This window comes from Homo sapiens, chromosome 2 (genome assembly GCF_000001405.40).
Source record: "Homo sapiens chromosome 2, GRCh38.p14 Primary Assembly".
NCBI classification, from domain to species: Eukaryota; Metazoa; Chordata; class Mammalia; order Primates; family Hominidae; genus Homo; species Homo sapiens.
Genome location: NC_000002.12, coordinates 235,030,329 through 235,050,900, shown reverse-complemented (window position 1 = coordinate 235,050,900; position 20,572 = coordinate 235,030,329). Strand labels below are relative to the sequence as shown.

General features: G+C 51.3%; 1 protein-coding gene across 11 annotated transcripts in view, besides 2 other annotated features; it reads right to left on the bottom strand.

Moving 5' to 3' along the window:
* SH3BP4 (SH3 domain binding protein 4) overlaps nucleotides 1–20,572 on the bottom strand; it is a 103,698-nt gene that overhangs the window by 4,814 nt on the left and 78,312 nt on the right. For 10 of the 11 annotated variants that reach the window (XM_047443849.1, NM_014521.3, NM_001371302.1 and 7 more), the window contains 2 exons: nucleotides 15,781–16,030; nucleotides 7,654–10,013 (listed from right to left, as the gene is read on the bottom strand). In XM_047443849.1, the coding sequence (XP_047299805.1) occupies nucleotides 7,654–10,013; nucleotides 15,781–15,898 (2,478 nt within the window). In that variant the 5' untranslated portion in view covers nucleotides 15,899–16,030. The remainder of the gene's footprint in view (nucleotides 1–7,653; nucleotides 10,014–15,780; nucleotides 16,031–20,572) is intronic. The other variant, NM_001371304.1, reaches the window with a different exon arrangement.
* Nucleotides 6,937–7,438: an enhancer, noted in NCBI's record as "OCT4 hESC enhancer chr2:235952107-235952608 (GRCh37/hg19 assembly coordinates)". NCBI's record gives its function as "activates a minimal SCP1, AML or CMV promoter by ChIP-STARR-seq in primed H9 embryonic stem cells {active_cell/tissue: H9 hESC(primed)}" and the evidence as "EXISTENCE:reporter gene assay evidence [ECO:0000049][PMID:30033119]".
* Nucleotides 19,113–19,741: an enhancer, noted in NCBI's record as "H3K4me1 hESC enhancer chr2:235939804-235940432 (GRCh37/hg19 assembly coordinates)". NCBI's record gives its function as "activates a minimal SCP1, AML or CMV promoter by ChIP-STARR-seq in naive H9 embryonic stem cells {active_cell/tissue: H9 hESC(naive)}" and the evidence as "EXISTENCE:reporter gene assay evidence [ECO:0000049][PMID:30033119]".

Genomic DNA, 20,572 nt, shown 5'->3' with positions numbered 1-20,572 from the left:
CACCTGAGGTTGTCATTTTAGGACTCCAAAGTGTGCTAAAAAACAAACAACCCCCCACCCCCGCCAACCACACCGCTGGTACCGGCGCTCTTTGGCCAACTATTTTGTGCCGATAGCAGGGTCGTCTTGCTAGTGCTCATGCGGTCGGCTGGGCTGCTTACTTCAAAGCGAGCCCAGCTGTTTTAGACTGAGCATTCTAATGTACACTTTATGTTTACCTGGGGGGAGTCTAACAATACAAAAAGGTGACCTTTTTGGCGACTTGTGGCATGCATTAGCCAGAGTAGGTGACTCACGATCCTTCTAGGTGGGCCCCCAGCATCTCAATCCATGGAATTTAAAAAGAACCAGGAGCGACAGATCATTCTGATGCCTCCCTAGATATGAGAGGCTGACAGCTGGCTACCAACGAGGCTGGCCAGAAGGGGGTTTGAGGACCTGGTGGCCGTTTGTTTTTGTAGAAGCTACTAGAAACCCAGGGCTAGGCCAGGAGCGGTGGCTCACGCCTGTAATCCCAGCACTTTGGGAGGCTGAGGCAGGTGGATCACGAGGTCAGGAGATCGAGACCATCCTGGCTAACACAGTGAAACCCTGTCTCTACTAAAAGTACAAAAAAAATTAGCCGGGTGTGGTGGCGGGCACCTGTAGTCCCAGCTACTCAGGAGGCTGAGGCAGGAGAATGGCGTGAACCCGGGAGGCGGAGCTTGTAGTGAGCTGAGATCGCGCCACTGCACTCCAGCCTAGGGGACAGAGCGAGACTCCGTCTCAAAAAAAAGAAAAGAAAAAAAAAGAAACCCAGGGCTTGCTGTGAGCCAGACACTCAGCTCCTCCGCTCCCCAGAGCCCCCCATGAAGCAGAGGCTGAGTTCAACCCACTTTACAGAAGAAGCTGAGAGAGGGGAAGTGGGTTTCACACCGAGAAATGCCAGAGCCAGAGCTGCCTCTGGGCACCCAACCCCAGGTCCTCCCTGCTGTGTGGGCCGCAAGGCATCTGTTCTACAGATAAGCACAGGAAGCCTGCAGACCCCAGGCTTGTCCCGGGTCCCACAGCTGGAAGTGACAGGCGTGGAGGCAAATATGCAAACTTCTCAGCACTCGGCCAGCGGCCTTCCCAATTCCATGAGCCCCACATGGAATTGGGAATTGAACCAAATGTAATACCGGTCTGGATTATGCTTCATATCAACTATTTATATATTTCAGAAGAAGGTCTGTTTCTATTTGAATTTGGATATATTCAAAACAAATTGTTTTAAAAAATTAAATGTTGACTAGATTTGTTTCAGAAGATAAAAGCATACACGTGTGTATTCACGTGTCAGGAGGGTGTGTAGTTAGCTGGTAGGCTGTCAGATCCTAATTTTCTTGCTGTGGTGGCAGCCTCGTCTGTGGTCCTGGGAAGGTGTGCTGGACCACCACAGGGTTTGACACGAAGTCACTCAATGTCCCCAACTCAGCTCTTTCGTGGCTACTCAGCACACACCAAGCTAATCTGGCTGTGTGCACAGCTGCCTGGCTCCAAAGTGGCCTCATTTTCTAGGTAACAGAACAGGTCAAAGTCACCTGCTTCTGACTCGAGTCATTCCTGGTGCGAGTGATCAAAACCGCTCTCTCCCCAGGGGAACTGGGCACAGGTCCCCAAGGTCCTGGGAAACACAGGTGTTCTCTGGCCCCTGGGAAGGAGAGCGCCTGGACTCCATCCAGGGGCAGCCAAGGTCCCATTTCCATGGATCCCAGATGAAAGGAGAGGTCGGCACTTCCAACACCAAGAATGAAGGCATCTCTCCCTCACTCACTTACACAACTTTTACTGAGCCCAGCCCTGGTTTAGTTTGTTACAAACCACCCACACCATCAACAAGGCATAACTGATGCATATTTTTAAAGGACAAATTTTGGGTGCCAACCAATTCTTAGCAATAGAAAAATTTCACAGCAGGAGGCTCTAGCTCTATGAACTTGATCCTTGCAGCTTCCTCTTTTTATGGGCACACAGGTACACCAGGAAACACTCGATGGACTGCTGCACTACCCTGGTTTCAACTGGAATTTTGTTACAGTGAGTACACCATGATTTCAGTCAGGGTGACTGAACTTTATAAAGGGACAGATAGTACTTTTGCCTTTGTGGGACACACGAAGCCTGAAAGCCACAGACGATGCAGATGGGAATGGGTGTGGCTGAGTTCCAACAAAACGCCATTGACAGGAATAGCGGGCCTGGCGGCCAGAGTCTGGGAACTTGCTTCAAGAGATATTCTTGTCCAGCCATGGTGGCTCACCCCTATAATACCAGCATTTTGGTAGGCTGAGGTGGGAGGATAGCTTGAGCTCAATGAGTTCCACACCGGCCTGGGCAACACAATCAAACCTTGTCTCTACTACAGACAAAAAAAAAAAAAAATTAGCTGGGTGTGGTGGCACCTGCTTGTAGTCCCAGCTACTTGGGAGGCTGAGGTGGGAGGACTGCTTGAGCCCAGGAGTTCGAGGCTGCAGTGAGCTGTGATCACACCACTGCACTCCCGCCTAGGAGACAGAGCGAGACCTTTTCTCAAAAAAGGGGCGGGGGAAAATACTCTTATAAAGTACAAAGAAATACAATTTAGGCTTTTTTGCTGCATGTTTATTCCATCCTGCTTCCTTCCCAACATGCCCCAAAACTCGAGGGGAAGCCTTCTGCACATGGCATCTGGACAATGGGCCCATCCTCCTTCCCTCTCCCACATTAACAGCCACAGGCTCTGGCTTTGGGGCTGCCTGGGAGGAATCCCTCAGGACCCCATCCAATGCACACTGTCCATCAACTCCTCCTCTTCTGGAGGTTAAAGTGGGTCTTCTCCCAATCCACAGAGAGTCCCTTCACACCACACCAGTCTTTCCCGCCCCAATGCGCCCCATGCACTTGCTAGCTTCCTTATTTCTGTTAGTTTTCAAGTCTCTTTGGGTTTATTCCGGCCCCCACTCCACTCCCAAAACAACCACCCTCCCTTGCTTTGCATCCCACAGCAACTCCTTCCCTTTCTCATAGAAACTTCTCTACAGAGCCCGACACGCCTATTTCCCTACCTCCCGCAACTTGACCAAAACGCCCCTGCTACAGCCATCACCGACGGCTCCAGGTCACCACACCCCACGGCTTCGTTCTTATGGTGGATCCAGGACCAGTTGTGACAGCTCACTCTGGCCCCTTAGGAAGTTCTCCCTGGGCCTGAGGCCACCGTGGGCTGCTTCTGCTCCCATGGCTGATGGCCACTGCCCACGGCTATCTCCAGCTGACTCCCCTTCCTTCCCCACCATAACAGAGACCATGTGCCGAGTGCTGACAGTATCCCGAGAATTGGGAATAGTCTCTTGCATCAAAAGGGCGCTGCTGAATGACTTTTCTGATTCTTAAAAAGCTGGGTTCCCTTTCAAAGGCCTCTACCACTGCCAGACGCTGCCCCTCCTCTTTGCCTGACGGGAGCCCACCGACCACGCAGTGTTTCTGGCCAGTCTACAGAGGATGCACAGCGAGGGTTTCATGTCCCCTGCTTCGCCTCTGACGCATCAGGGGGCTGAAAGAAAACCCTACCCTTGAATCATGCCACTGCCACCATTTTTTGTACATGGGACCCCTGAAGGAGCACAAGGCTTAAATGTGAATGTGCACATTTCTCCTTTCATAAATACTCATGACTCCCCCTACGGCTTATTGAATATGTATATTTGGCCACCAATATCCATAAATTCTTGTTGCCTTTGCCCCTCCCTTGAAGTGTCTGTTTTTGGCTTCTGGCAGGAGGCTCTGCTTCCCAACCTGTCAGAATAGCCACCCACAGGCTGCAACCCTTTATGAGGAATGAGGCTCTCCTTTCCAAATGAACAAACCTTGTCATTCTTCAGCTGACACCATCACGGACAGAGGCTCTGGTGGGAGAGAAGTGGCCAGGACAGAGGGGTGCTCTGAGTGCAGCCACAGCCATGCTGCTGGGAAGGGGCAGGCAGAGGTACGGGGATGCCTCACACACGGACTCTATCAAAAACAGGCACAAAAAGAATGGAAAGAGGAAATGGAACCACAGAACAGAAGCATGGTATGGCCACGTGAGAATGCCTCCCGCTTGGATTCTTAGCCCAGCCCAAGGCCTGCATTCATTCATTCATTCATTCATCATTCATTCATTCATCCATCATTCATTCATTCAATCACTTATCCATCTAGTACCTCAGTGATTCTTATGTGCCGGGGCCCTTCCTCTCATGGGACCTATGTTCAGTTAGAGTAATAATGAGAAACAAGTGCACAAGAACATAAACAAACTTGTTTCTTTTCTTCTCTTCCTTTATTTTCAAGACAGGGTTTCACTCTGTTGTCCAGGCTGGAGTGCAGTGCTGCGATCATAGCTCAGTGTAGCCTCGACCTCCTGGGCTCAAGTGATCCTCCCACCTCAGCCTCCCAAGTAGCTGGGACTACAGGTGCACACCAACACACCTGGCTGATTTAAAAAAAAAAAATTGGAGAGATGAAGCCTCACTATGTTGCTCAGGCTGGTCTTGAATTCCCGGGCTCAAGCGATTCTCCTGTCTCAGCCTCCCAAAGTGCTGGTATTACAGGTGTGAACCTCCATGCCTGGCCAAAACAAACCGCTTCTGATTCAAGAAACACCATGGAGACAGAGGATGATGGAGTGCGCGGGGCTGCAGAGAAGGACGTCCTGGAGAGACGGCATTTGAGCTGGCAGCTGAGGGAGATGAGGAGGTCTGGGAAAGGGAGCTCCAGGAAGAGGAACAGCATAGCATCTGCAGGAGCTGGAGGCCGGGCGAGCTGGGTGTGTTCAGGGCAGGGGTGCACAGAGCACAGTGGCCCCCAGGGTTGGGATGGGTAGGGCCAGATCTTACACGACTTTGTGGGGCAGGGGCAAAGGCTGACCCCGTTCTAAAGGCAGTGGAGAGAGGAACAACCCAGGTCTCATTTGACTCCTTTTTCCTTCCCATCTCCCTGCACACTGACTGTCTCAAACTCTCACATTTTCCCCATCATTTAAACACTGTTTCCAACCCAAGGCATCAGAACAAGGACACCGAAAGCTATGCTAAAAATGAGAGGCAGGGGGTGGCCTGGCTGTGACTCTCTGGGAGGGGCAGGTAAAGCGGTGGCAGAGGCCGCAGAAATCGTGGCAGCCCTGTGATGACAAGCGGAATAGAACAGCCAGTTTTCAGGGTCTCCTAATAAACGACCTGGGAGAAATCCGTCTGTGGTTTCTATAAGTTTGGCCAAGATGATGACTGACACAGGTGTGGGGGGCGGGTGGGGACACTGCAAAACCAGTTTCACTTTATCACCACAAAATCTAACCTTGCCTCAGGGAGCCGACCTGGCCAAGGGCAAGTTTCACTTCCTCCTTTCTGGGTAGCGGAAGGACTCGGGCACAGAGGACACACCCCTCCCTGGAGCGGACAGGGAGGCCCACCAAAAAATCCCCTCCCAGAGATGCTCACCAATCGAATTGAGAGAGTTTGATCATTTATGTCTTTTGGAAAAAGATAAAAAAGCAGGAAAATGAGTGTAAAAGCCACCTACTCGGCGGTTATTTTCCACAGCTGGTGTGGTACTCCTGGTTGTGTCATTTTTCCACCTCTGGTGCAACGTCGAGGTGAGTGTCCTGGGCTCAGCAATGCTGTCAGGTTCCACGACAGCATGCACAGCCACGGCTGTGGTCTCGGGGCCGCCCGCACAGAGGCTCTCACGGGATGGAGGCGCTTTGTCTGCCACTGTGCTGGGTGCACCCGTGAGGAGACCAGGCCACGGCCCGGCACCAGGTTCTGGAGAGCCAGGAGGTGTGCTCTGAATCACACATGGGTGATGGCTGATGGGAGGGACGCAGGCCATCCCCTCCCTGCAGGTGACCCCACATGGGGGCCCGGAGGCTTCCCTGCTGCGTTTGTTCGCTTCCTCCCCACCCAAGTGCAGTGATTTCCTGGTTGCCAAGGTGGCCCCCCTGACGGCCGCTTCCAGTTCCATCTCCCTCCCCTGGGCAATCTCGTGGCTCCATGCTTCTGGCACTGCACACGACTGCAGGCCACCCAGAGAGGGTCTCACCCGACTCCTGCCCCACTCCTGCCGGGCTGCGTCCCTTCTGTCTCCTGGCTCAACATGGGCAGCCGAGCCGGGTATGTGCCACATGTGACCCTTGCCTGCACACCTGTGTCTACAGGACACTCTGGGCTCTCCCAGACAAACAGGGCTCAATCCAGGGGAGCCGGGGAGGTGGCAGAAAGGCCGGGCACCAAGAAGCACGCCTCTCAGAAGCTAGGATGCAAGAAAGCCTGCGGGCTCAGAGGAACGAGGAAGAGCGGCACACGCCAAGGTCACAGGGTTTTCCCACAGGAATGAACACCAGCAATGCGCCCCTCTCCGGAGGATAGGGGTGGACTCCGTTCTATCACAGGGAGAAGTCCACAGGGACTCTCCACCACAAACACCCCTGGGGATGCCAGGACACGGATATGGCTAAGCCTAGCCAAGGTAACCGCCAGGACCCAGCTCTGCTGACGGTGGGGCTGCCTGCGGGGAGCAGTGCTAAGAAAGCGTTGAGCAAATGCTCCCCGGTTGGCTCGTGGGCCAGGGCGTAACCCACAGTCTGATGCTTACTTCCCCCTTTTATTTCTTTGGATTCCAGTTCACGGTTGTGCTGGCAAAACAAATGCTGTCCTCGCCCCAACTCAAACCAACACAGAGGGGGAAGTGGAAACAATACAGAGATGTTAGAAGCTTCAAGGAAGCAAAGGCAAGAAAAACTCACATTACAATGAACACAGGCTTTGGGGCAGCGGTTCGTGGGACTCTGGAGTCAGAGACCCTGTTGGGAATCTAACGAACCACATCTGCTCCCAAGAGATCTAAACTGAATGGCGAGAGCACAGGCCGCCTTCTGCCCCCACCCGCATCTGGTCCATTCTGGGACCCTCTTGGAGCTCACAGATTCGGTGGGAAAAGTAACTGGAATGCTCTTCTTTGCAGGGTCCTTGGGTTGTCTGGGGCCCCCCAGGATCCCCCGTAAACCCCATCTCCACTTCAAGCACACTTCAAGCCCCACACGTATATCCCAGGCAGCGGGACATCAGCCACAGACACTGTCCTGGTGACTTACAACACCACGGCCCACGCCCACGCATATTGGGAAGGCGAAAGGCTGTGCTGAGCCGCACCTATCTCAGGCAGCGGGACATCAGCCACAGACACTGTCCTGGTGACTTACAACACCACGGCCCACGCCCACGCATATTGGGAAGGCGAAAGGCTGTGCTGAGCCGCACCTATCTCAGGCAGCGGGACATCAGCCACAGACACTGTCCTGGTGACTTACAACACCACGGCCCACGCCCACGCATATTGGGAAGGCGAAAGGCTGTGCTGAGCCGCACCTATCTCAGGCAGCGGGACATCAGCCACAGACACTGTCCTGGTGACTTACAACACCACGGCCCACGCCCACGCATATTGGGAAGGCGAAAGGCTGTGCTGAGCCGCACCTATCTCAGGCAGCGGGACATCAGCCACAGACACTGTCCTGGTGACTTACGACACCACGGCCCACGCCCATGTGCACTGGGAAGGCGGAAAGGCTTTGCTGAGCAGCACCCCTGAACGCCCAGGCACCTGCTGAGCACTCACCATCACAAGCTCCTTCTGGAAGGACTTCCGTTCTTTGTTCTCAGTGTTGTTACAGTCCTCCTTCAGCTTTTCTAGGACGGACGCCACCCGCTCGGGCTCACTATCCAGCTCTGCCCGGCAGAAAAAGGTGAGCGGCAGGTTCACGTAGCCCAGGGCGTCAGCGAAGGAGCGCCAGCTGCTGATGTTCTCCATGAGCAGGGTCCTCACGGAGGCATAGATGTACGTGAGGAATTTGCAGGGCCGCAGGATCTGCTCCAGCAGCACCGAGGTGCTCAGCTCGGGGCCCGAGCACAGGCTGGGCCGGGCCCTGCCGACCACCAGCACGTTCTTGGTGTGCACGAGGCCCACCCTGCCCTGGTAGTAGCCGATGTACCACTCCTTGGTCCACAGCTGGCCCCGGAGCCTGACCCGCTCCTCGCTGAGCAGGGCGATCCCGTCGCCCTTCTTGTACTCCAGCAGGTAGTGGTTCTTGTTCTGCCGCACCACAGTCTTGAGCAACTTACCAAACTTGAGGCTGGACACCGGGCGGTCCTGGAAAGTCGGGTACTTTGTAGTGGTGGCAAACGGGGACAGGATGATTTTCCCGACTTCGTTCTTCTTGAGAAACCTCCTTTGCCCGGAAGGCTTGATGGCACTTTTAGGGGGTGGCTGAGGAGTCTGGACACAAAACTGGGTGAGGATGGCCTCCTGGTCGTCCTTCACCTGAACCCGCAGCGTGAAGTCAGAGAGCTCGTTGGGGTTCTGGGAGGTGATGGGGAAGATCAGGCGGCTCACCTTGCCCAGCTTCAGCTGGAATCCTCGCACCACTTTGGCCTGCTCGCTGGCTTTGACCTCGTAATTCGTCATATTGGAAAACATACAGACCTTGAGATCCTGGGGCCTGGACAAAACGAACTGGTGCTTCCCCCACAGCTGCAGGGCCACCGGGGCAGGGTTGGGTGCCTGGCGTGTGACCTCGCTGACCAGGAGCGTCTTTGGGGCACAGTCATGCCCAAAAATGGTCACTACCGTCTTGAAGGATGGGTGGATGTGTTTAGGGCCGTAGAGACCCACTGTGACTTTTTTATTGATGAAGTCCCACACGGTGGAAGGGTAGAGGATGCTTGGGCCATGGGCCACGACAGCCACGTACATACAGGGCTCCAGGTTGTGCAGCTGTGCCTGGACCGTGTCCCCACAGCTGCAGTTGAGCGGGACGGAGACATATGGCCCTTCCTTCGAGTCGCTCCTCAGGCACTGGAGGCCCACTGTGCTTTTGCTAAAAAGGTCATTTTTTATCTCGGCTGACACTTTCATCTCCAAGATGATAGAGGTTTTCACCTCCAGGTTGCTCAGCTTGACCTCCAGCACAGGGCTGATGCTGCAGGACCTGTCACTGTTGAGCTCCAGCGGGGGGTCCAGCAGGGCTTTCATGGAGATCTGCTGGGTCTCCCCAGGGGCGACGTGGCCCTCGGGCACGTGGATGCTGATGCTGGTGTCAGGAAGCTGGACAGCACCCCCGGAGCTATCCAGCTTGCACACGATGTTTGTCTCCACGGCTTGGGTCTGGCCCCAACCAGGGCTTTGGCCAAGCAAGTCCAGGTCGTGGCAAGACCGGGCCAGCTTCCTGTGGTTTAGCCAGGCAGTTCGAAAATCCTCCCGGCTCTGAAATTGCTCGGGGGCAGGTGATTTCAAGCCGGTGAAGAAACTCGACGATGTGGGAGCATCGGACTTGGCTTGGAGGACGGAGAGTTCCGAGAGACTGTAGGAGCGCTTGCTTCTGAAGAAGGGGTTGTCCCGCCTGACCGGCGGCTCTGCGTGGAGTCCGTTTGTGACTGGAAGCTCATCGAAGATGTTGCCAGTGCTATTCGTGGTGGCTGAGCTGGATTCGGTGAAGGAGGATGTACCTGCGTCAAAAAGGAGCAAATCCACAGTACTTTTGGGATTCAGCTCATCCAGGCTGGGCATGACGGGCACGTTCCCATTCAGAAATGGATTGGTCTGGACCCCATTCCAGAAAGGGTTATTACTGTACATTCTGCCTGGTACTTTTTTGTCATCTGTCCATCCCCCGAGCAGCTCCAGCTCCTTGGCTACCTCGTCTGGGCTGTCTGGAAGATTATCAATCATACCGCTGTCACTCAGTGTTGAGTTCCGGTAGTTCAAGGGCTGCACATAGGAGGAGGGGATGTAGCCCATTTCGGTGGTGTTGTGTGCGTACCACCACTCACCGCCAGATGTGTCCAAGACGTAGAGATGGTCGCCCTTGGAGAACTTCAGTGTGGTGAAGTTGGTGGGGCAATAGTCCTTGATCGCAATCACTTCCTTTGCATTTCCGAAAGGTGTGGGGTTGTCTACGAGCAAGGCACTGGGAGAAGGCACTGTGCAAAACACAAAGAAAACAGATGGTGAGGGCAAGGCCGGCGGGGTGTCCGGAGAGCTTCCCAAAGGAGAGAGGACGGTGGTAAACAGACAGGTGCACAATAACCCAGGCAAGTCACCAACAGAAACAAACCAAAGTGAAATTCAGTAGGTAATTTACCTGGCCAACGAACTGGTTCCTGCTACTTGGTCACCTTCAAAATCGACAGCCTATGTCCGGCAGAAAGACCACAGAGGAGCCTCTCCATCACTCACAGAAAGGCAAATCAGTGCAATGGAATATTTAACATGCCCTACGCCCTAAACATCTCATTTTGGGCAACGTTAAAATTCTTCTTAAAAGAACTGCTACTAGATACAAAGAGAAACTGAATGTGATTAACTTAGAAAACACGGTGACACGGTGAGTTAGGTGACCACTGCATGTGATCAGGGACTGGAAATGAACAGATTCCAAAAACTCCCGCAATGACATGTATGAGCTGATTCCAAGCTCTGCCTCTGGATGGAAAGCTTCCCTCAACCTGCTTCTTAAATTTCCAAACTCAACCTGTTCCTCACCAAACTGTTTCCTCAGATAAAGTAAGAATTCTGAAGTCAGTTCCTTCCAACCTCTTTTATTCTTATTTTACTTATTTATTTATTTATTTATGAGACAGTGTCTCACTCCGCCACCCAGGCTGGCATGTATTGACATGATCTCAGCTCACTGCAACCTCAGCCGCTCAGATTCAAGTGATTCTCCTGCCTCAGCCTCCAAAGTAGCTGAGATTACAGGTGTGTGCCACCATGCCTGGCTAATTTTTGTATTTTTAGTAGAAATGGGGTTTCATCATGTTGACCAGGCTGGTCTCAAACTCCTGACCTCAAGTGATCCTCCCGCCTCAGCCTCCCAAAATGATGGGATTACTGGTGTGAGCCACTGCGCCTGGCCCAACCTCTTTTAAATTATCATTCAAAATCACAACATGAAAACAGACTGTCTACATACCTTGAAAATGAGAGATTATGCCTAGTCATAGCTCATACTATCATTGAACAAGTGTTGAAGCAGTCTGAAAAATTCCAACCCTTCAAAAAGTGAATCAAGTTAATTCATGGCTCCTGCCATTGAACTCTGTATGTTACCAATGTAGACGGCAAATGAAACAGCAAAAATAAGTCAGCCAAACAAGTGGTGTGTTTTGAAAAATAATGGATATGATTAAATGAGAAGATATATTCAGAAGATGAAGAACACTCTTTCTGAAGAAAATAAGCACATATACTTCTCCCCAGGACTCCCCTCCCCCACCTCCCAAACTGCCTCACTTACGGAGTCTGCTGACATTCTGGCTTCCCGTAATAAACAATTGAAAGAAAGAAAGGAAACGTTTCTTTCTTTCTTTCTTTCTTTTTTTTTTTTAAGTTGCCAAAGCAAATGACCAAAGAAAGGAATCCGTTTTTAGTTAAACTAAACCTACATCTTTTCTAATGTGATGAAGTCCACAGTCATCGTATTCTATCAAATTGCCCCCCCGACCCCAGAAAATCACCTGCCAGTTTCCTTTTCCTTTGAAAGGAAATAATCACACTTCCTTGGGAAAGTGTTAGGAAATCAGGTAGACAGTTTCTATTCATTTACATTAACTGGGTTACAGAGATGCGCTTAGCTGGGAGCATCCCTGGGCCTTGAAGCCCCACCTACCTCCTCCTGTGAAATTACAGCAGGCCCGTCTATCTGGGTGTCTCAGAGAACCCGGCTCTGGGATCACTAAACCCAGACTCGAGTGGAGCCCTTAGAAACTGTGTGATCTCCAGAGCCTAAGACTCCACTCATGGTGGACAAAAAGTGTATTTCCTCAATGAGCTTTGGAGAGGACAAAATGCAAAGACGTAGATAAGGCACTTGTCATAATATTGCTTGACCCAACTTGAGGACACACAGGATGTTATGTGAAATAGACATCTCCTGGCCCCAATGTTATCTTTTTCCATAGCTCTTACCACCAACCACTACATCATGTACCTGATGAGGTTCAGAACATGCTACCCCAAAATATAGCACCACACATATTTTAAGCTGGAGGAATTTGAGAAACCGCAGGTGCAGGCAGGACTCCCTGCCTGCCCCCTGAAGCAGGTCATAGACCCTCAAGTGGGAGGGGCCCTCCCTATATGTGGGGGACAGAGCATCCTATCTCCAAGGACACAGGGAATCTGCAATGCCCAGGCCTTGCTGTCCTCCAGCTCATGACACTTGCTTATGCTTTTTCTTGTCCCATCTCATTTTTCCAGGACTCTCCACACCTCATCAAATCCCTCAGGTTTAATTACTTCTTTAAGTCTTCATTTCCTTATGAAGAAATTATATATCTGTAATATACATATAACATATATTAAGTAAGTTTGCATGCTTTTCTCTTATTAATGTCTTTTGTTATAGGGGCCCAAGCCAAGAACTAAGAATTTTTCCTTCTCTACATACCTCATATATATATATATATATATATATATATATATATATATATGTATATATATTATATATATATATATAAAATATATATACTATATATAATATATATATAATATATAATATATATATATAATATATATATTATATATAATATATATTATATATAATATATATTATATATAATATATATATAAAATACATATATCCTTTATATATATATTATATATATGTGTATATATATATGAAATATGTGTATGTGTGTGTGTATGTGTGTTTCTTTTGCAGGAGGAGCCTCCATCTCCCCATTAGGGTATCAGCACCATTAGAGCCTGTTTTGTTTGCTGTTGTATCCCTGGGCCTCGTACAAGGCCTGGCGCGTAGCGGGGACTCAATGAGTATTTGTGGAATGAATGATCATCGTGCATGCGTAAACGACACAGAGAAGCCATAATCTATGCTATTGGATCCTGGTGTTGGTGAAAGCAGTGTCTGAATTCCCCCTGGCTGTGCCCTTGTGCTCTAAAAAAATCATAAAACCAACAAATTATTTAATATGAGATGGGAGTGAACCAAAACCTGTGAAAGAAAATGGCTTTCATGGAGAGGTGGGAAGAATTGATGTGGGTCAGGCTGAGGCCAGAGGATACAGAAGCTCTTCTCTCTCATTTCTGTTTTGCTAGTCATGATCTCCAGGAATATAAACCATTTTATCTCCTTGACACAATCTACTGGAAATGTCACATAAAGATGAAAACTAAATGAAAATTAAATAGAGCTTGCCGGCCATCAAAATCTTGCTAGAATCCCTCAAAGGTTATGTCCTTATTATGCTCCCTCAGAATAATTCCCTTACAGTAGTTTCAAAATTAAGAAACCAAAGCAATCAAGAATGCTTTGTGCATAGCCTAGAATGTATCAATGAGAATTATCATTCAGTTTTATCCAACTGAAGAATAAGAATGGTTTTACTTAAAATTCCCAGCACTCTCCTTGGAAGAGAAATGGTCACAGATCTCACTCAAGGGATCAGGCTTAGCCAAGGGAAATCACCCCACTCTTCCTTTCCAGAACCCTAGGGAGGTGGACTGTTGTGTGATTCCCCCTTCTAGATGAGGCCCTCCATCAGTCAACTGCCACCAAGCAGCTGGGGACACTGGGGAAGGGCTTCCATCCCATCAAATGCCAGAGAATCCCTAACGAATTCTATCTTAATGAATTCTGAGGAGTGTTACCCAGATTCACAGCCACCTTGATTTTAATACAAAAATCTCCCTGGGTGTTAGGAAGTTCAATGTACTGAATAATACATTTCCTATCCGTCTGCCTACGTTCTTCTGCAGGCAAAACATTCATCAGAGTAGAAGGTTTCATGGCAGATACTTTGGCTGAAATAAATTCCCACCTTGAAGTCTGTCTATCACTGGGATGTGCGTGAAGCTTCTGGCTAGCAAACTGCCTGGGTCACATGTGGCGCCTCGGAGGTAGATTCCCCAGAATCTCTGGGCAAGGCCAGAGATCCCATGGTTCTGTCCACCTCAGATTCTCAAAACACCCTCCCCTTCATGTTTGAGGCTGTCCTCCTCCTCACGTTCAAGGCTGTCTTGTTTGTCTTCCTCCTCTAAATTAGGGATTCTTTTAGGGATAACAGCCAATATTTCCTCCAGAGCACTGTCATTATTATTATTATTATTTTTTATATAGAGTCTCAGAGTGCAGTGGTGTGATCTCGGCTCACTGCAACCTCTGCCTCCTGGGTTCAAGTGATTCTCCTGCCTCAGCCTCCTGAGTAGCTGGGATTACAGGCACGCTCCACCATGCCTGGCTAATTTTTTGTATTTTTAGTAGAGACGGGGTTTCACCATGTTGGCCAGGCTGGTCTCGAACTCCTGACCTCGTGATCCGCCTGCCTCGGCCTCCTAAAGTGCTGGGATTACAGGCGTGAGCCACCGCGCCCAGCCCACTGACATTTTTAAAAATTCACCTCACTTTAAGACTCTGCCCTCCTCACTTTAACACTCTGCCCAAATCACACAATTTATGCTCACAAGTTCCAGCTTTGACTCTGATGAGTTGGGCTATAAAGTAAAAAACAAAATGTCCATTAACAGAATCTGAAAAATAAATGCTTCAGTTATTTATGGCAACACCCAATCACTGTTGCTCTCTTACAAATAAAATCTCACACGGGCTAGACGTTTCTTTTAAAGAACATTTACAGCAATGCCCAGGGATGCCAGCATCAATCAGAGGCAGGGAGAAGATGTTTGGGATAAAGGGGAAGGAGAAGCTACTCAATTAGACAGACATAAACACAGTGCATATAATTTTTGTACATCAGGGTAGAGGATTACAACTTTATCTGGGGGATAGCAGTTTAGTTCAAGAAACATTTACTTAGCACTGACTTTAGGCTGGGGCCGAGGATACAAATGGTCAAAGTCAAGTTCCTACTTTTCAGCTGTGCTCCAGGCAAGACAGTTTCAACAGCTAAGAGAAAGCCAAGGGATGATGATATTGATGATGATGGTGCTGTCACCGCAACTGCCAAGCCCCAAAGGAGCATGTGAGAGAGACTGAACGTGGCCTAGGTTAGGGCAGATGTGCAGGAAGAAAATGACCTGCTAGTATTCACCTTGGTGTCCAAAAGATAGGTTTTCTCATGAACTCAATTTTACGAGGCCACTGGAGAAACCCAGAGACCCAGGGTTATTAAACTTTAGAACCACCTTCTAGATCAGGGGTTGGTAAAGCACGGCCCTGGGGCCAAATGGGGCTGTCTGCAAAAAAAAAGTTGTCTTGGAAACACGACTCTGGCTATTTAATGACTTAACTTCATGGATGCTTTCATGCAACGAGGCAGCAATGAATAGTTGTGACAGAGATGGTATACGGCCTGCAAAGCTTCAAATATTTCCCATCAGACTGTTTGGAGAAAAGGTTTGCTGACCTCTCCCCGAAGCTACCTTTTTTCTTCTCTAGTGGTTCTCAATATTTCATCTACTTGCCACACTCTCTGTTCCCCTGGGTTTCTGTACCACCAAGCTCCCTACCACACTGTCACCGAATTTTATCAAGTAAAAAGAAACATACCCTGTATTAAGAAGGGGTTTCACTAATAAGGGGGAACCAAAAAATAAGACAAGTGACTATGATTCCAGGGCTAAATCTATTACCATGATGAAGTTTAAAGAACTAAACTTTAACTATCTGAATGCTAAACTGGCAATCTTTAAAGCAGAAAAGTTCTTGGATCCCAACTTGAAAATCCCAACGTTCTCCCTTAGCCACAGTCCTGTTCCCCAGAAGCTCACCTTTGATGTCATTAAAGCTCGTCTCTGAAAACCCTTCGCTCAGGTCAATCAGGGTCCCCTCTGACTTGCAGCGAGGGAGGCCATTGGAGTTGGCCGCTCGGATCCGCTGAGCCGCCATCTCGAAACTCGCTTCCCGGGTAAAGCCGCTAAGGCTTCATATTTCTTCCTCCAGTTATCCCAGCAGATGCTGAAGCTTCTGCCTCAAGCAAACACGCTGCGCGGCGGCATCCACTCGGCAATATGTTTCTTCCTGAAAGTAGAGGAGGAACAAAAAAGTCCCTTAAGCAAGCGAAACATGGGTTCAATGGTAATTTTATGGGAAGTGGGAATCCTCTTTCTTCCAGGCTGTTCTAATGAGGACAGACCCATTTCATCTTTCCTGGCCCAACAGAGCAGAGCAGCGCTTGCTCCTTGGCCTCTGTGCCCACTTTGTGCTTGTCTCATTGGCACACTGGGCACACACAGCCCAAGCAGTGTTTTCTGGCCGGCTGTTTGCACCTGCTCTTCTTAGGGGCGTAAGGGTGTTTGCGAAATGTGCTCCAGCACCTGGCCAGTCCATTCATTACAGTCAAAGAGGAGGACAGCGCAGGACTGTACAGTTCATGCTGCTAGCTGCAGGGCTCGGAAAAGGAAAAATCGGCCTCTGCTTGTTCAGAGTGGCTGATCCCAGCGCAGGGGCAGTCATCATGGTGACTCGGCCCCGGGAAGCAGCCATCAATGAACACAGCCCAGCAGAGGCCCCAAGGGTGATGCTCCCTACCCAATCCGCTCCTGAAATCCCCCTGCACCCCAAATAAACAATTCTAAACACAACACAGAGCGGCCATAAGGTATTCTCAATGCAACGTATGCAGATGAAACCAGGGCATATTTACTGAACCACTGTTACTAAGCAGGAAAGATCTTTCCGTGGAAGAGACCACAAGAATCACCCCTAAGGCCTCTGCTTTTTTTTTCTGGAAGGGCGCACAGACAGGACTGAAGCATGTGGGGGGTTCTGGATATGAATGAGGTGACTGGCTCTGAGCAGGCCCTTCAGCAGGGTCCAGGGAGAAGGGACAGGAACAGCAGCGAGCCGATTTCAAAGCAGTGAATTTCATGTGCTCTCCAAGAGAAACTGGCAGACACTTTCACAGCTGGCCACAGTACTTAGAGCTCTGAGCAGGCAAATCTCACCCCTATATAACTGGGCACATATACAATGGTCTGAGGTCCCTTTTTCCTCAATTCCTCTATCCAGGGACAGCTGAGAATGTAGCTTCTGACCCAGTGTGCTGCCTTTACCATGCAGAGACCCGGAGGCCCTGACACCACCCTTTGCAACGTTTCTGCAGCAGCCGGGTGGGAGCCCTGACCATCCCCACTCTTCCCCCAGGCTCCATGTGCAGTGAGCATGGCTTGGAGAGCCCCTGTGCAGTGAGCAGAGCAAGGCGTGTGTCCACATGCTGCTATAGGGACCATCTTGTGTTCAATATTTAACCCTGCCAAGTCTCAGCCACTGTCACCACTGCATCAGAAGCTGCAATCCCAGCTCCCAGTGACCGGCGGATAGTGGCTCAAGGGAGGCGTCCTTTCCATCTCAAGGCCTCAGAAGGCTGCATTCTGCACCTGAACGCTGTCTGGAGAGAAGGCATGTGTTACGGACTGAACTGTGTTTCCCGAAACTCCTATGTTGAAGGTCTGTCCCCTAATGTGATGGCACTGGCAGGTGGGGCAGTGGGGAGTAGTTAGAGTTAGAAGAGATCATGAAGGTGGGGTCCTCATGATCAGATCAGCGCCTTTATTTGAGACACCAGAGAGCTTCCGTTCTCTCTCCCTCTACCACGTGAGGACACATGAAGCCAGGAAGAGGGCCCTCCTAGGAACAGAGTTGGCCAGAGCCTTGACTTTTGACTTCCGGCCTCTGGAACCGTGAGAGATGAGCCTCCCTTGCTGGGCCACCGGGGCTGTGGTGCTTGAATGCAGCAGGCGGCAGGAGAGGAGGGCATGGTGGCCACCTCTCTGGGGAGCGGCAGAGCTGCCCTGCTGGGGGCCCTTCCCTTAAAAAACACCTACCTGAGCCCAGCCCCGCCGTCTCTCCTACCCAGCAGTGTAAGGAGGGGCAGAGTGGAGGCCAGCACTCACCCAGGCCAGTTATTCACAGGAAGGAATGAAGCTGTTCTCCCCAAACTGGGTGGTCACAGATGTTTCCATCTTTCCCCATGAAGTTACGACGGTCAGGTCTGTGTGCTTATTCCCTATTCCCGGCCCCTGAGAACTACGCCTTGGGGAGAACCCCGGACGCCCTGGACCGAGACTCCCTGGCTGGCAGTGACGGTGCTCATGCCAGGAGGAGGCCTCCTTCCACCCCACACTCCACCCCTCTGCTGGGGTCTGGCACGCTGAGGCTCAGCGCTGACGGCACAGCACCCTCGCCCCCTACCAGAAGCAGTGACCAAGTAGCTCTGAATGCACAGCCTGCGTGTAGAGCTGGATGAAGGGGTCTTGCCGCCACGTGAGAGACCACCCTACCACAGCCAGGCAGCCCGGCAGCCCCGAAATGCAAGGGCCACGTGTGCAAGCCCCCGGGCTGCTTGGAGGCCACTGTGGAGACCCCAGTGATGGCCACCTCCAGAGCAGCCTGACTTCAATAGGCTGAGTGAGGAGTAAAAATCCTTCCCATACAAAAATGCGGGATCATTTACTGAAGAGAATCGATGCAGAAAGAAAATGAAGAGACCCATGAGTGGGTGAGGGGAGGAGCTTCAGGACAATCTCCAGCCCACAACTGGTACTTGCCATGTGGCCTTTCACGTGTGACGGTGACAGTTCCTGCCTGAGAGTCTCCATCTGACTGCACCCGAGGAGGAGGAAAAATCAGGGGGTGTCAGCTGTGAGGGCAACTGGAGCCCACCTGCCCATCCTGTCAGGGACTGGGGTGCTCCCACCCCCACCAGTCCAGAGCTACTCCGAGGACTGCGCCGGGTGAGGCTCTGGGTCACAGTGGCCAAACGAAGACTCCTGTTAATCACCAATGTGTGCTCTTCCCACTGGGCCCACAACTCTCCTGCAGAAGGGAAAGGGTTGCCTCGGCCACCTCGGCCACCGCGCCGCCTCATGACTATAGCATTGCCTGGTTTCACATTCATGCCAGGAGGAATTATTTCATGGAGGGTTAACAAAAAGTCCATCTGGGCACAAGAGGGAGGCATTCCCAAAAGCTTCCAGGCATGTCCTGGCTCTGCAAAGCTGTCAGCAGAGATGGGCATCAGGCATCTGGGGCTCCACGCAGGCTGCTCAGGGCATCGCCAGCCCTGGTGGGGCCTAGGGCGGTAACAGGAACTGTTACCTGGAGAGCACGACTGGCCACCTAGTGGGGCCCAGAGAGCTGCCCATAGAGGGTGAGATGCCAGTGAGTGTTCAGTGAGAAGGAGGAGGCCCAGAGGCCTGTGGAAGGCCTAAGAACAGGTGGGCACAGTGAAGACCTGGCCCTGCAAGTGTGGAGGGGCTAGAGGGATGGAGGGGCTGTGGTGGAGCCCACAGCAAAGGCGGGAGGCCAGGTAAGCTGGCGGAACGCGGTGGTGAAGGGTCAGTCTTGTCCAGGAGACCCTGGGAAGCCACTGCAGCTTTCCGATTGAGGAGGAGAACTCTGGCTGTAGAAAAGGGCAAGATGGAAGCAGCAATGTCGTTTTCTTTGAAAACTACTGACATATGGCCTCCAGCGCCCTGGGAGCAGAAGAAAGAAGTCACAGAACTGCACACGTGCTTTCTGGAGATGCACCAGTGTGTGTGTTTATTATTGATGATGGGGTATGGCCACTCCCCTGAACCAGTGATGAGACAAAAAGCTAAAGTGTTTGCAGTTCTAGAAAGAGATCTGCAGTCCTCTCCCCATAGAGGAAACCATTCAAGGAAGACGAGTCAACAACTGTGGACTCTGCCACCCTCTCCCCTTTTCAGGCCGAGAGAAGCCAAGCAGGGAAGTCCCACTCCCAGGGCCCAGAAGCCATCATGTTCCCACGGGCACCACTGAGCTCACTCACAGGCAGCCCTCCCCTCCACATAGCAGGTGGGAGACGTGTGTCCTGTGGTCCTCAATGCTCTGTAAATCCCCAGACTGACAGCTTCCTCCCCAGGGCCAGAGGGAGGCCATCCTTGAGTGTAGCTGTAACACCCATCCAGACATTCAGGGGTGAGTAACAGAGGTGCCCCCTGTCCGCACCCTTGGGGCCGTTTTTACAGTACAGAAAGAGGGCAGCCAGCCCTGGTGTGGACTGAGTGCAGAGGGCTCTCCACTCCCAAAACCTTCCTGAGCAGGTGGAGTCACACCGAGGGCTGAAAGGGAAGCTCTGCTCCTCCAGACACCACTGCATCTACAGGGGGCTGGCACGGGATGGAGAATGCAGCCAGCATCCCAGGGCTGCCCTGTGTGCTCCTCACTGGGATGTCAGCTCTGTCCTCTTTCCTACAGCAGAATCCTCTCCCCTCCCACCCCTCCTCCTCCTCCCAGCTCAGCCTGGTGTGGCCACGCTCACTGGCCACCTCTGGGTGATAACCTCTCAATCTCCCCTGGATCACCCACTTCCCCCGATGGATTCTAACGGCATCTAACAACAGACGTGGACGCTGACGGTTATGTGTCCTCCCCTTACAGCACAGGCTGCGCTCATAGCTCCACCAGGCACCATCCCACTGCGTCCTCAAGGGCCCTAGGCAGCAGGTACCAGACTTGGCTGCACTTTACAGATTCCATGAAAACGGGCTTGGAGAGATCACTAAAGCAACTTGCCCAGGGTAACGCAGCCAAGATGTG